At 47.5% G+C, this 13,490-nt stretch overlaps 1 protein-coding gene across 1 annotated transcript in view; it reads left to right on the top strand.

The window, feature by feature from the left end:
• ZNF503 (zinc finger protein 503) overlaps nucleotides 1-10,686 on the top strand; it is a 122,192-nt gene extending 111,506 nt beyond the window's left edge. Inside the window, exons 2-4 of the transcript NR_120651.2 lie at nucleotides 7,028-7,138; nucleotides 10,291-10,353; nucleotides 10,500-10,686. The gene's annotated coding sequence lies outside the window, so the exon portion shown is untranslated. The remainder of the gene's footprint in view (nucleotides 1-7,027; nucleotides 7,139-10,290; nucleotides 10,354-10,499) is intronic.
• Nucleotides 10,687-13,490: the final 2,804 nt, after the last annotated feature.

Below are 13,490 nucleotides of genomic sequence, written 5' to 3'. Positions count from 1 at the left end.
AACTAGCTTGTACAGAGAGTTCACATGGAGAGGCCAACAGAGGTATCTGACCCACAGCCCAGCCAACGTCCCAGCTGACAGCCAACATCATTCACCAAAAGAGAAAGAAGACTTATTCATAACAGCATTATTCTTGATAGCTAAAATATGGCAGTAACCCACTTGTCCATCGATAGATGAATGGATAAACAGAATGGGGTATATGCACACAATGGCATACTATTCAGCCTTTGAAAGGAAGGGAATTCTGCAACATGATACATCATGTTGAAAATACTATGCTAAATGAAATAAGCCAGTCACAAAACCAAATTCTGCACGGTTCCACTTCCAGGTGGTACCTAAAGTAGTCAAATTCATAGAGACAAAAAGTAGAATGGTGGTTGTCAGGGGCAGAGGAAAGAGAGAATGGGGAATTATTGTTTAGTGGGTACAGAGTTTCTGTTTTACAAGGTGAAGAGGTCTCAAGAAGGATGGTGGTGATGGCTGCATAGCACTATGAATGTGTTTAATAACACTGAGCTGTACATTTAAAAATGGTTACAGGCTGGGTGCGGTGGCTCACACCTGTATTCCCAGCACTTCGGGAGGCCAAGGCGGGCAGATCACCTGAGGCTGGGAGTTCGAGCATAGCCCAGTCAACATGGTGAAACCCCGTCTCTACTAAAAATCCAAAAGTTAGCTGCAGTCCCAGCTACTTGGGAGGCTGAGACAGGAGAATTACTTGAACTCGGGAGGCGGAGGTTGCAGTGAGCTGAGATCACACCACTGCACTCCAGCCTGGGTGACAGAGCAAGACTCCATCTAAAAATAATAATAGTAATAATAATTGTTACCATGGTAAATGTTATGTGTACTTTACCACAATAAAAACAATTGAAAAAGTGAATGAAGACGTTTCCAGAAGATTCCAGCCCCAGTCTTCGAGTTGGCCCTGATGAAGTCTCAGAGACAAACCATTTTCAGTGTGCCCTATCCAAATTCCTGACCACAGAAACTGACATAATAAAATGATTTTGAGTGGTTTATTATGCAGCAGTAGTAACCGAACAATAGGGGCAAGATGGTCAGGACATGCCCAGAGGCCTGTGGGCAGGCGGCAAATCTAGGGCTGGGACTGGTCCATGACTCAGTTATCACCCTCTATTATGCCCTGGCCCTTCCTCTCCCCCAGCATGGCCCTCTGTCCCACCAGATTTTATTACGATTCAAAACCAAGCCTTGCCCCTAACATAAACAGTCTTTGCTCCCACTCCTTCTCACCTTGGAAATCTGCTCTGGCCCCCCAAGTAGCAAGAAGTATTACAAGTGCAGGAGTTGTACTCATGGGAAGATTCACCCTCCAGGGCCGCCCTCTTTCCATAGCCCTGAGGCAGTCTGTCTACACCTCCAGCCTTCCCCATGGTAACTCACAAGAGAGCTGGGCCAGTTCAGAGAGGTCCATGGAAGTGGACCACTGCTGACAAAGCCAGATCAGCCCCCCTCAACCAAGCGCCTGGTCCCTACTGTACCTGGTGCAGGCAGACCACAGAAAAAAACATGGATGCCTAGATGGAGGGGAAATTAACACATGCAGCAAAGTTTAGGGAAAAATACTTTTTGTTCTATGACTCCCATTGAGACCCCCACCCATGAATTCAAAGTGTCAGTGAATTTCCCTCTTTATCCTGAGCCCAGTTTCCCATTGGCAACTGTCCTGCATCATCACAGGTTCTGAGTCACCCCCTTACCCTGAGTTGTTCCACAGCCCACCTGCTGGGATTTGTGGAGCAAGCTGGGGCTCTGCAGGCCAAGTGGGTCCAGGTGGTGGCAAATCGGAGTGTCCACTGTATCTGTGACTGGTGAGTGGCAGGGAGCCCCAACACAAAAGGCAAGGTTCAGCTCCCAGCTGACCCCACTGGAGCCTTTGGGAAGCAGTCTGATTTGTTACTAGATGACTTGTTGCTGCTACTGTTTGGGAATTGATGGCTCAAGAGTTCTCCGTGGTGATGGAGGACAGCGTGGTAAAGGCCTTGGACATGTAGCCCAACTGCACAGACTTCACCTGCTGCCCAGGTCCCGACATCATCTCGCAGCTCTGAGGCCCCAGGCCCAGGCACACTTCCTCTACTCTTGTCTTATCTGCCTAGACCTAGGCAGTGCACCTTGGTCAAACCTTGGCTGGGGCCACCCCATCAGAACTTTGCCCAAATTTCTGCAATTAACACTTCCGGTTCATTAAATAAATAAAAAGATTATGATCTTGCTGCCAATGTAACTGTGGCTCTCTTGAGACAAATCCCGACAGGGCAGGATCATCTGTGTTTGAACTCAGTGCCCTGTGTGGCTTGGCTCACAGCTATGGCTAGTGCTGGAATGTCAGAGCCATCCATCTCCACCTGCAGGGCAGTGATGTTTTCCTCGCTCAGCCGTGCATCTCCTTTCCTCTGGACAACACCATATCTAACCATGCACAAGAGTGGGAAGGGGCCCCGGCAGACTGACCCCAGTACCCTATCCTGGACAGTGAATGGTCCAGGGTTAAGCACATGTCCCCAACTTGGACAACTGGAGTCCTTCCTGAGGAATTTGCAACTAGACTCAGGGATAGATATCCTTCATCCTCCAGGGGCATGGATATGAGGTCATAGCTTTGGCAGCCATGACCTGATGTGAGGAAAAGCTGGGCGGAGGGAATGAAATCAACATGGAGCAGCAGAATGAGGAGGGAGACCTGGACCCTGATCTTGTCAGAGGCCCTGGTCCACTCACTCCTGCCCTGCTCAAGGCTCACTCTGTTCAACCTACCCTCAGGAAGCCTTAAGTCACAGGTCCAGAAAGTATCACAAAGGCCAGACCCTGGTAAGTAGGTATGGGAGGGTAGGTAACAGGAATGGGAGACTGAGGAATGAAATGGAAAGACAGCCCAGGAGAGAGTAGAGGGTGGGCTCCAGGGCAGGCTGGAAAGAAAGCCAGAAGGGGGGTCAGGAAAGGATGGGGAGCAGGCATGCATCCAGGCTGGTAGATGGATATGTCCCCTAGGACCAGGGGACAGCAGCAACTGGAAGATGGGAGAGAACATAGTGTGCTTGTGTTCAGATATTGTAGGGGAGAAGCCTGTAGTGGGGAGAGACGTGATAGAAGAGCATTACAATCTCCCTGAGCTGGGTCCAGGGAGCTGCAGCATGGGAGGTGGCAGACTGGTGGCAGCCACCCAACAGATGGTCACCACCATAAGCACAAGGAGAGGACCAGGATCCCCTCCTGCTAGGATCAGAAGCTGACCATGCAGAGGGCACTTCTGACCCCACGGGGACAGAGACAGACTGGCTCAAAGCAAGTAGAGGCTGTGGAGTCCCACATACCTGTCTGGCATCCTTCCCAGCTGACCCACCTGCAGATTCCAGGGTCATGCCCCTTCAGCTGGAACCTCCACATCAGGGCACATGAGACACCAGGATCACACCTCACTCCCAGTGGTGGGAGCTTAAGGAACACAAAAAGATTTGCAATAGCTGCTAGGAGTGTCATAAGTAAATTAGAAAGACACAGTTCACACACAACTATGAGGATGTGTGGCTTCAGCTGAGGATGCCAGCTTCTTCTGGAGAGGCGACGCAGCCCCTCTGTCTCAGCCCTGGCCCCCTGTAAGCCCTGGAAGCCAGGAGGTTGGTGTGGGACACCTTTCCCCCAAAAGAAGAGACAATACAAGGAAGAAATGGCAGCAACACTGACCATATACTGGGGGCTTCTCATGCACCAAGTCTCTTCCCAGCATCTGATGTGCATCTCAGTCAGGCTTCACAGCACCCATACGAGCAGGTACAATCCATTATCCTCATCTCACAGAAGAGAAAATGAAGACACAGAAAAGCTAAGCAACTTGTCTAAGGTCACAGAGAAGAGAAGAGGCAGTTTTCTGGCTCCGTTCTATCTTGCTCCAAGGCTGGAGAAGAAAGCAGGAGGAAGCCACGGGAACATGACCCATGCCAGTGGGGCTCATAGAGCAACATGGGCTCCACACACAGACCCACAGCCCTAGCCCAGTATTTAATCATGTAGTGGAACTGCCTTATATTTGAGTAAAAACATAATTAAATTCAAGTAAGTTTATTTCTTAGCTCCAGGCTCTTTTTTTTTTTTTTTCCTGAGACAGTATTGCTCTGTCTCCCAGGCTGGAGTGCAGTGGCGCACAATCTCTGCTCACTGCAACCTCCGCCTCCTGGGTTCACACAATTCTTCTGTCTCAGCCTCCTGAGTAGCTGGGACTACAGGCGCGTGCCACCAGGACCAGCTAATTTTTGCATTTTTAGTAGAGACGGGGTTTCACCATGTTGGCCGGGCTGGTCTTGAACTCCTGACCTCAAGTGATCCACCTGCCTCGGCCTCCCAAAGTGCTGGAATTACAGGTGTGAGCCACTGAGCCCGGCCATCCAGGCTATTTCTGAAAATAGTTCTATACCTATTCCTATGGCTGAGCCCACCCGATACAAATGAGAAAAAACAACTCAAGACCCGCTCCCTCAGCCGCAAAGCCAGGTCTAGAACATGATTCTCTTGTCTCCTTCTCTGGTGCTCCCTGCTGTCTCCTCCATGGACACAGACTGCCAGGAGGTTGCCATCAGCTACAGCCTAATGTTTTCCCCTTCCAAAGGACCCCTTGGGTCCTCTCCAGCAGTGTGCTGGTCAATGCTTAATGACCAGCTCTTCAGGAAAATAAACAAACACAAAGACCTGACTTGTAGCATTTGCCATTTTCCATAGTGTAAATATTCCTATCATGTCAGTGTCCGGCTTTCAACATGATGTCCCTGAATGGAATCAGGAGGACTCACCCACGTCACCGTTTCTCCCACAGTTGAGGAAGGATTCCAGATTAGCAGGTGCTAACTGCAAGGGCTTGCAAGTCAACTTAAGTCTCTCTCCAATTTAGTTTGAAGTCAATGAGTTCACAATCCATGGAGGCTGAGTGGGAGGGATGCTGAGAGCAGAAGAGAAAAATCTGTCTAGGAGGGCATCTGCTGCCAAGCAGACCAAGGCACCAATGTCATTAACTAGAAATTCAAATGATTCAGAATGAATTCAGGAAAATCTGGTGTCAGGGTTTAGAGGATAGACTCTGGAGCCAGATGGTATGGGTTCAATTTCTCACTACCTGTGAGACTTTGGACATGTAACTTAACCTGTCTGTAAAACGGAGATGGTACCAGCACCAACTCTGTAGTGGTTGTGAGAATTCAATGAGAAATGTGAACACAAAGCTTGCAGCACAGTGCCTGGCACATAATAAGCACTAATAATAACAAATAATAAACACAGATGTTAGTTATGTTGATAAGTCAGGGTTGTTGGCTGTTATTATCATTTAAGTGGAGATGGAAAACAAACCATGATCAATAAGTAGTAATGGGTCATTGGACTAGAAGCTCCATGAGGGCAAGAACCTTGTCCATCTTGGTCAGTGTAGTATGCCTGACTTATCTGTTAGGTAGGCACTCAAATATTGGTTCCATGTTGAATATTAGGATTATGGCATCTAATGGTGCTTAAATACTTGTATTTCTTTAGCTCTTGCTTTAATTGCATTCTCTGTTTAAAATAACCATCAGTAACCCCAGCTAATAGTAATTGTATTTTTAGAGTCCATTTGAGTGTAAATAAAGACTGACTCTCCCCTTAGTTAACCACACCCATGGAAATCGCTGGGCAGACTATAATCCAGACACTACATCCACCTGGTGGTGAGACCATCAGCTTGAAGGTGAAGGGCCCAGATGAAACCCTTTCTGGTATTAGCCTTACACACTCCACACCTGGAAGCGACAGACATAGCTAATCCCAGGCCAAGCCCTGACCCACCACTACCATTCCCCACATCAGGCCCAGGAATGATGATAGAAGGTTCTGGACCTGGGTAGGGGTTGAGAGAATTTTTTTCTTCTATTTCTGCTTTGCTCCCTTCCTGTCCTCTCTTCCCCATCGCCCTCCAGTCCCCTTCCCCCAACCCAGTACCCTTCCCCACTCTCCAGAGCAACCCTCCCCACCAACGCCCCCTCCCCGCCTGCTGCTCCCTCTTCTGGGCCTCTCCTCCCTACTGTCTGCTCTCTTAGGCTGGTTTGTTATGGCATGAAAGATGGCTCCGTGGAATAAAGATGTTTCCCCTCTGATGAGCACATTTGCAGAAGGTATGTCAGAGATCCTAGGGCTGGGGTTGGGCGGTCTTTCAAGAAAGTTGTTTTTCCCCCTTCTTTCCTTCCCTCCCTTCTTCTCCCTCCCCTCTCTGCTCCCTTACCCACCCCCTCCTTCTTTGCTTACTTATTGGAAGAGTAATAAATATTGGTCAGACAGGCCCTTCTCACAGTTACAAAGCCTACCTGTAAGCGAGCTCAATAATTAGCAGTCCTGAAGATGATATATGACTTTCATTACCCTTTGGGACTGGAGACTAAATGAGGACAGAGCTAATTGCCGTGCAAAGCAGTTTGGCATGAATGAGAAAAATGCAGGCCCTGTCTCCTGCCAAAAAAGAGCCCTATTGCTGCTCTGATCTCAAGGCTGGTTTCTGCCGCAGGAGTTCACTCGGTGTCCATAAATCACAGGCTGCTTACAGCTGAAGCTGCCCTGAGTCGTCAGTGAGCTGTACGCTGAATGACAGATCCCAGCCGACTGCATTAGAACTTTAACTCCCTCCTTTCTTCTCCTCCTCCTCATCATCTTCCTCCTCCTTTTCACACTGACCAGAAAATTAAACCCAGACTCCTCGGAGAGGGTGGCAGGAGGCTGGGGTAGGGGTGGGGGCGGTTGGCTTGGGTTGGGTTCCCGATGCCCACGTCAACCTGCTCCCTCCCTGCACTCTGTCTCCCCCCTCGAAACATACAGGGGACGACAGTTCTCTCCACCCTCAGGAAGAGGCAGGCCCCTCCTGGAATGCTCCAGGCTGAGCTTTTGTCCTTGGTTTGTCATCGAGACAAATGTGGCCTCCCTTCTGGCCTGCATGTCTCTCTCTTCCCCCACCACTCTTGCAGGAAATGCTTCTCTTCTCTTATAGGAGGAGGATTGACACCAGCCACACGTATGTCTGCTGCTGACAAATGTGCGCACGCCTTGGAGGGCGGGGCCAGGCAGGACAGAGCCGCCCATGACAGGGGGACACCTCCTGGTAAGATTTTCTTCTCTATCCCTCACACCTGCCCCTTTCATCACTCCTCAAGGAGCCCTGCTTCTGAAAGTCCCGGGTGGGAAACGCACTAATGTGCAAAGCACCATCCTTGTCCTCTTCCATCCAATTCCCTGGTGAGTAAGGGAGCTTCCCTAGCTTCCCTCCCTGTGCTTTTCTCCCTTCCTGGCTTTTCTAAGGGCAGTCACATAATTAATTCTTAGAACTATCAAATTATATTTGACACTTAATTTAAAACTCAAGGTTCCATAATGCAAATCTTCTCCTGGTAAGAAGGGTGACATGCACATTGAACATGTAGGCAACCTGACAGTTTGGAGGGGCAGTTCTGTGTGACTCCCAGAGAGGGAAGGGAGCTGACTTTTATTGAACACCTACTTTATATCCAGTGATTTCCATTGATTAGCTCACTTCCTTCCCACAACCCTATGAGGCAAGTACTGTTACTGCATCCATTGTGCAGACAAGGACACCAAGACCCAACACGACTAATTTACCCAAGGTCATCCTGTTAGGGAAGAGCCCAAACTAGGATTCATGGTCTTGAGATCTTGAGAGCCCCTTATGTCTTTGTGCGATTCAATTCCTCCTTCAAGGATGGAAGCAGGAATCCCCGAAAATGGAAGCTTCCTTCCCATGAGGGTGGGAGTCAGAGGCAGACTCCAGCTGCACATCACAGAATGCCTAGCTACAGCAGCTTACATGGTGCAGGTTACTTGTCCCACATAACAAGAAACCCAGAGGCAGGGCCATCCAGAGCTGGAGCAGCTCAATGATGACTTCAAGAACTGAGACTCTTTCTATCTTCCTGCTTCACCATCCTTGCATTCTAACTTCTTGCATTTTGGTTGCAAAGAGACCTCTGCAACACAAAGCATCATATCTTCAGTCCAGGGAGGGAAGAGGGTTTAAAAAAAAGGGATAAAAGGAATTCCCCCAGCCAAGGCTTTGTCTTTTTATTTGGGAAGAGGAACCCTCCCCAGCAGACTTCCCCTTGCCTGTGATTGGCCAGATCCCATCTCTCTCACCTTCTCCCCACCTACACCAGTCGTTGGCCAAGGGAATGAGTTGTCATGACTTGTTTAGACCAATCATGATTCACCTCCTGGGACTGCCAGAGGGCCCTTGATCTTTGCCTCCCTAAGATCAAAGAATCTCCAGTTGCTAATTACACAAGTCACATTGTTAACAGGGAAGGAGCGGGGATGGCTGTTGGATATGCAATGGACAGTGTCTGCCACACCCAGCTATTATCCTTAGCCACCTCTTGGTCTGATGGAAGAGACCTGAGTCCCAACTGGAGAATGACTCTGATATTCTGGGTATGTGCACAGACAGCTTTGAGGAGTTTTGGAAATTTGGTTCCCTTCTAAGCTACCACTATTTCTGGGGTCTGCCTACCTCAACACCCCTAAGGGGGAGGGGGAGAATTTGTGCTTTGTCCTCTGGACCCGGGTCTATGGATCTATGTGTGAGTGGACAGGGGTGACCCCATGATCACTCCCCCATGTGTAAGCTCCAGAGCAAGCTGTGGCCTCTTCTTTGGACAGACAATGTCCTGAGTGGTTAACTCTGGAAACCAGTGTGCCTGGGTATCAAAATGAGAGCCTGGACATCTTATCCATACATCTCACACTCCTGCTTTGTAAAATCATTGGGAAGGGGGTTGTTCCCTTCCCACCTCCATCTGCAGCTGGGGCATGACAGAGCATCCCCCAGTCGTGGTACTCATGAGGAAGTTCTTATCACTGTCTCCTTCCTATTCAGCTGGGGGCAGATTCACTTGCTAGGAGGAGCATCTGTCAGGAAGCAGGCAGGAACCAGGCGGCACACTCGACAGTAATGTGCTCATCACCTGTCCCACAGGATTACAAAGGCCATTTCTGGGCTCCTGGCTGCCTCGCTCATTTACCCCAAGACTTCTGATACTCTCCAAATCTTCTTCAGGTGTCTCCTCCATGCAGATGGGAAGGCTGGTAGGAGGTTTCTGAGTCCTATAGCCCCATCTCAGGCCCCTCCGGGTGCAAACTAGGTCACATCTCTCTTTCCTTGAGGCCCCAGTGGCTTCCCATATTCCTGAGACTAAAACTCAAACTCTTTACCCTGACCTACAAGTAGAGTGACCGTCATCCCAACAATATTATTAGGAGAGCGACCTTTCAGTTTCAATGCATTCTAGTCTGGATGATAAATTACATGGTCACCTTATCACACAGCAGGCTTTGTGTGTCCCCAGCCTCCTCTCCTCCAGCTGGCTCTGCTTACCTGCCTTGCTCCAGCCAGGCAGAGAAGTTCCCTGAAGCAGCCGCTCTCGCCCACCACATCACCCTCATGCACACATTACCTCCACCTGGAACATTCTACCCCTGTTTCTTCCCCTGCCTAATTTCTACTCAGCTCTCAGGCCTGATTTAGATGTTCCTTTTTTCAGAGGAGTCCTTCATGGCCCATCAACCTTAAGTTGGGTCCTCCCTCTCTCCTGTCATACAAATGCTTATTTCTCATAGTGCCAGAATCATCAGTTGTATCTGTTTCCCCCACTAGATTGTAAGCACCATGAAGGCAGAGGTCATTGTATCTCCAGAACCTAGCATGGGGCTGTTGCCCCATAACCGTATGTTTTATGAATGAATAAATGGATGAATGAAAACACAGTGTTTCCCATAAATGCACACACACACACACACACACACACACACGCATACACACCCCTCCAAGATACCAAGCCCACCACAATCATCTCCAGGGAGATGTAATTCTGGCACAATCTGAGCTTCCCAGCAGCAAAACACGCCACTCTGAGTTGCTTACCCCATGAAGGGTTCAAACAAGGGCCATCTGTCAGGAAAGGAGACACATGGACTGAGGAATATTGCCTTGCAGGCTTCTGAACCATGATTGATTCTCATCCTCCCTCACACAGGACAGCAGCCAGATTACCTCCAACTCCAGACCACCACATTCAACACCACAGTGAACATCTCTGTATGTGTCCCATTATGGACTCATGTGAAAATTCCCCTGGAATAGAGATGTCCCAGGTAGCTGAATTGATGGGCCATTGGGGATGTATATTCTTAATTGAATTAATCCCCCTTTTTTCTTTCTTTTTTTTTACTTTTGGCTTGTACAAGTTCTAGAATTCTTGGACTGATTATCCATCTTGACAAAGGAGGCCTTGAATCAAATTTAATCTGGTAAAAAAATAAATATACCTTTCTTTTCTGCAATAGACTAAATGTATAGTCCCCACAAAATTCATTTTAACCCCCAAGATGATGATGTTAGAAAGTGGAGACTTTGTGAGGTGAATAGGTCCTAATGGTAGAACTCTCATGCATAGGTTTAGTGCACTTATCAAAGAGACATCGGAGAGATCCCTTGTGCCTTCTGCCATGTGAGTTATAGTGAGAAGACAGCCATCTACTAGGAATCAGACCGTCATCAGACACCAAATCTGCCAGCACCTTGATCTTAGATTTCCCAGACTCCAGAACTGTTAGAAATAAATTTCTGTTGTTTATAAGCCACCCAGTCTATGGTATTTTGTTATAGCAGCCCGAAAAGACTAAGACATATGCCAAGCACCATAGGAAATGTGCTACCTGTTATAGACACATCTTCTATGTGCCATTATCCACCCTTTAAATAAAGGCCTTAGAATGAGCTGGGCAATGGAGGTGCGAAATGTCAACCTTTGCCTACTCCTTGGCATAGGGAAGGGGAGCAAGAGAGAAAAAGGAGAGAGCGCTGGTAAAGGCTGGATCTTCTGGGTGTATAATAGCTCTCCTGGAGACCCATGGAAAAACCCATTGTGTAGAACACTAGATTGTGCTCCTCCAAGACCTGGGCTGGGCTTATAGCAGCAACCAGACCCTTCCCAGTCCAAGAGAGACCCACACTTCAGCCAGAAGCCACAGGTGGGTCTCCAGAGCCTATGGGATCACTGTGGAAGGGAAGCGGGAGGCAGAAGCCCAGATCAGCACCAGCAGAGTCAAAACAGAAAAGCCCTTCTGGTTAGGAAGACCCTATACTGTCTTCCTAACTAGAACTACAAAAGGCAATTACTTGGCTCATCTGCACCCTGTACACAGCCAGCCCAGGCCTGATGGACTCGAGTGTGGACATCAAGAAATGTAGCAGGATGATCATGTGGGTGGCATGGAGTTTCCCCTGAGCAGGAAAAAGGACAGACTGTGTCCCAGCCACAGACAGCTTCCCAAACTCCAGCAGAATGCTTTCAGACATGCAGACAGATGTGCAGATAGATTTCCAGATAGATATGCAGGTACATGTGCAGGAAGATGTGCAATTGGGGAGGACAACTATGGGCACAGAGATGTACACCCTGTCATATAAAGTGACTCTTCTTCCAGCCACCTCAGTCTCCTCCAGCACAGCTAGCCTCTCAGTTTATCAGCACTATTGCCGAAAGCAAAAGAGCATCGAGGGCCTTCCATTTATATCAAGGCAGAGTAACAGACTGATTCCCCTTTCCCTCTCAGCCGAAACAACTAAAACACCATACAAAATATGGGAAATCATTTTCTTATCTTTTCCTTCTTTTTTTTTTTTTTTTTTTGAGACTGGTTCTCACTGTGTCACCTGGGTCACCCAGGCTGGAGTGCAGTGGCACAATCACAGCTCACTGCAACCTCCGCCTCCGAGGCTCATGTAATCCTCCCACCTCAGCCTCCTGAGTAACTGGGATTACAGGAGTGTACCACCATGCTCAGCTAGTATTTTTGTATTTTTGTACAGATAGGGTTTCCTGAATATTCCTTTATCTACTAAGGAAATTGAATTTGTAGTTATAAACTTCCCCACAAAGAAAAGCACACACAGACACACACACACATACACACAGAAAACTACAGGCCCAGATGACTTCTCTGGTGAATTCCACCAAATGTTGAAGGAAAAAATGACACCAATTCTACGCACTCTTCCAGAAAATTGAGGAGATAATACTTCTAATCTCATTCTATGAAGCCAGCATCATTCTGATACCAAAACAAGAGAAGTATTGACCAATATATTAATACTTCATGAACCTTGATGCAAAAATTCTTAACAAAATTTTAGATAATGTAATTATTGTGTACAATCATTGTACATATTGTAATTTTAGCAAATTACAATACATAAAAATGATAATACATTATGTCCAGGTAGGGTTTTATTCCAGGGATTCAAGGTTGATTTAACATTCAAAAATCAATTAATGTAATACACCATCTTAATAAAAGGAAGGATAAAAGCCAGCTGATTACCTCAATAGATGCGGAAAAAAAAATGACAAAATTCAACACCCAGTCATGCTGGAATTCTCTACAGACTGGAAATAAAAAGAACTTCCTCCACCTGATGAAGGGCCCTGTAAAGCTCACAGTTAGCATCACACTTTGTGGTGAAAGACTGAATGATCTTCCCTTAAGATATGGAATCAGGGCAGGGCACAGTGGTGGCTCACACCTGTAATCCTAGCACTTTGGGAGGGCGGGGCAGGCGGATTACCTGAGGTCAGGAGTTCCAGACCAGCCTGGCCAACATGGTGAAAACCCATCTCTACTAAAAATACAAAAATTAGCTGGGGGTGGTGGCAGGCGCCTGTAATCCCAGCTACTCAGGAGGCTGAGACCAGAGAATCGCTTGAACCCAGGAGGTGGAGGTTGCAGTGAGCTGAGATCATGCCATTGCACTCCAGCCTGGGCAACAGAGTGAGACACCGTCTCAAAAAAAAAATTAAAATAGGCCGGGTGCAGAGGCTCATGCCTGTAATCCCAGCACTTTGGGAGGCCAAGGTGGGCAGACCATGAGGTCAGGAGTTCGAGACCCACCTGGCCAACATGGTGAAACCCCATCTCTACTAAAAATACAAAAATTAGCTGGGCGTGGTGGTGTGTACCTGTAATACCAGCTACTGGGTAGGCTGAGGCAGAAGAATGGCTTGAACCCAGGAGGCAGAGGTTGCGGTGAGCCGAAATCGTGCCACTGCACTCCAGCCTGGGTGACAGAGTAAGACTCCATCTCAAAAAAAAAGAAAAAAAGAAAATAAAAATAAAATTAAAAAAAAAACTGTTAATGCAACAAAAAGGTAAGTAATAGATTGGGAAAATGTTTGCATATCACATATCTGATACAGGTCTTGTAGCCAGAGTATATAAAGAACTCTCAAAATTCAATAATAAGAAAACAAACAACCCAATATGAAAATAATCAGCAAAAGATTGGAACAGACACTTTATGAAAAAATATTTACAAACGGTAAATGGTTATTAGGGAAATGCAAATTAAAATCTCAATGATACCACTACATACCTATTAAAATAAT

Source organism: Homo sapiens, chromosome 10 (genome assembly GCF_000001405.40).
Source record: "Homo sapiens chromosome 10, GRCh38.p14 Primary Assembly".
Lineage (NCBI taxonomy): Eukaryota > Metazoa > Chordata > Mammalia > Primates > Hominidae > Homo > Homo sapiens.
This window is presented reverse-complemented; position numbering and strand designations above follow the sequence as displayed.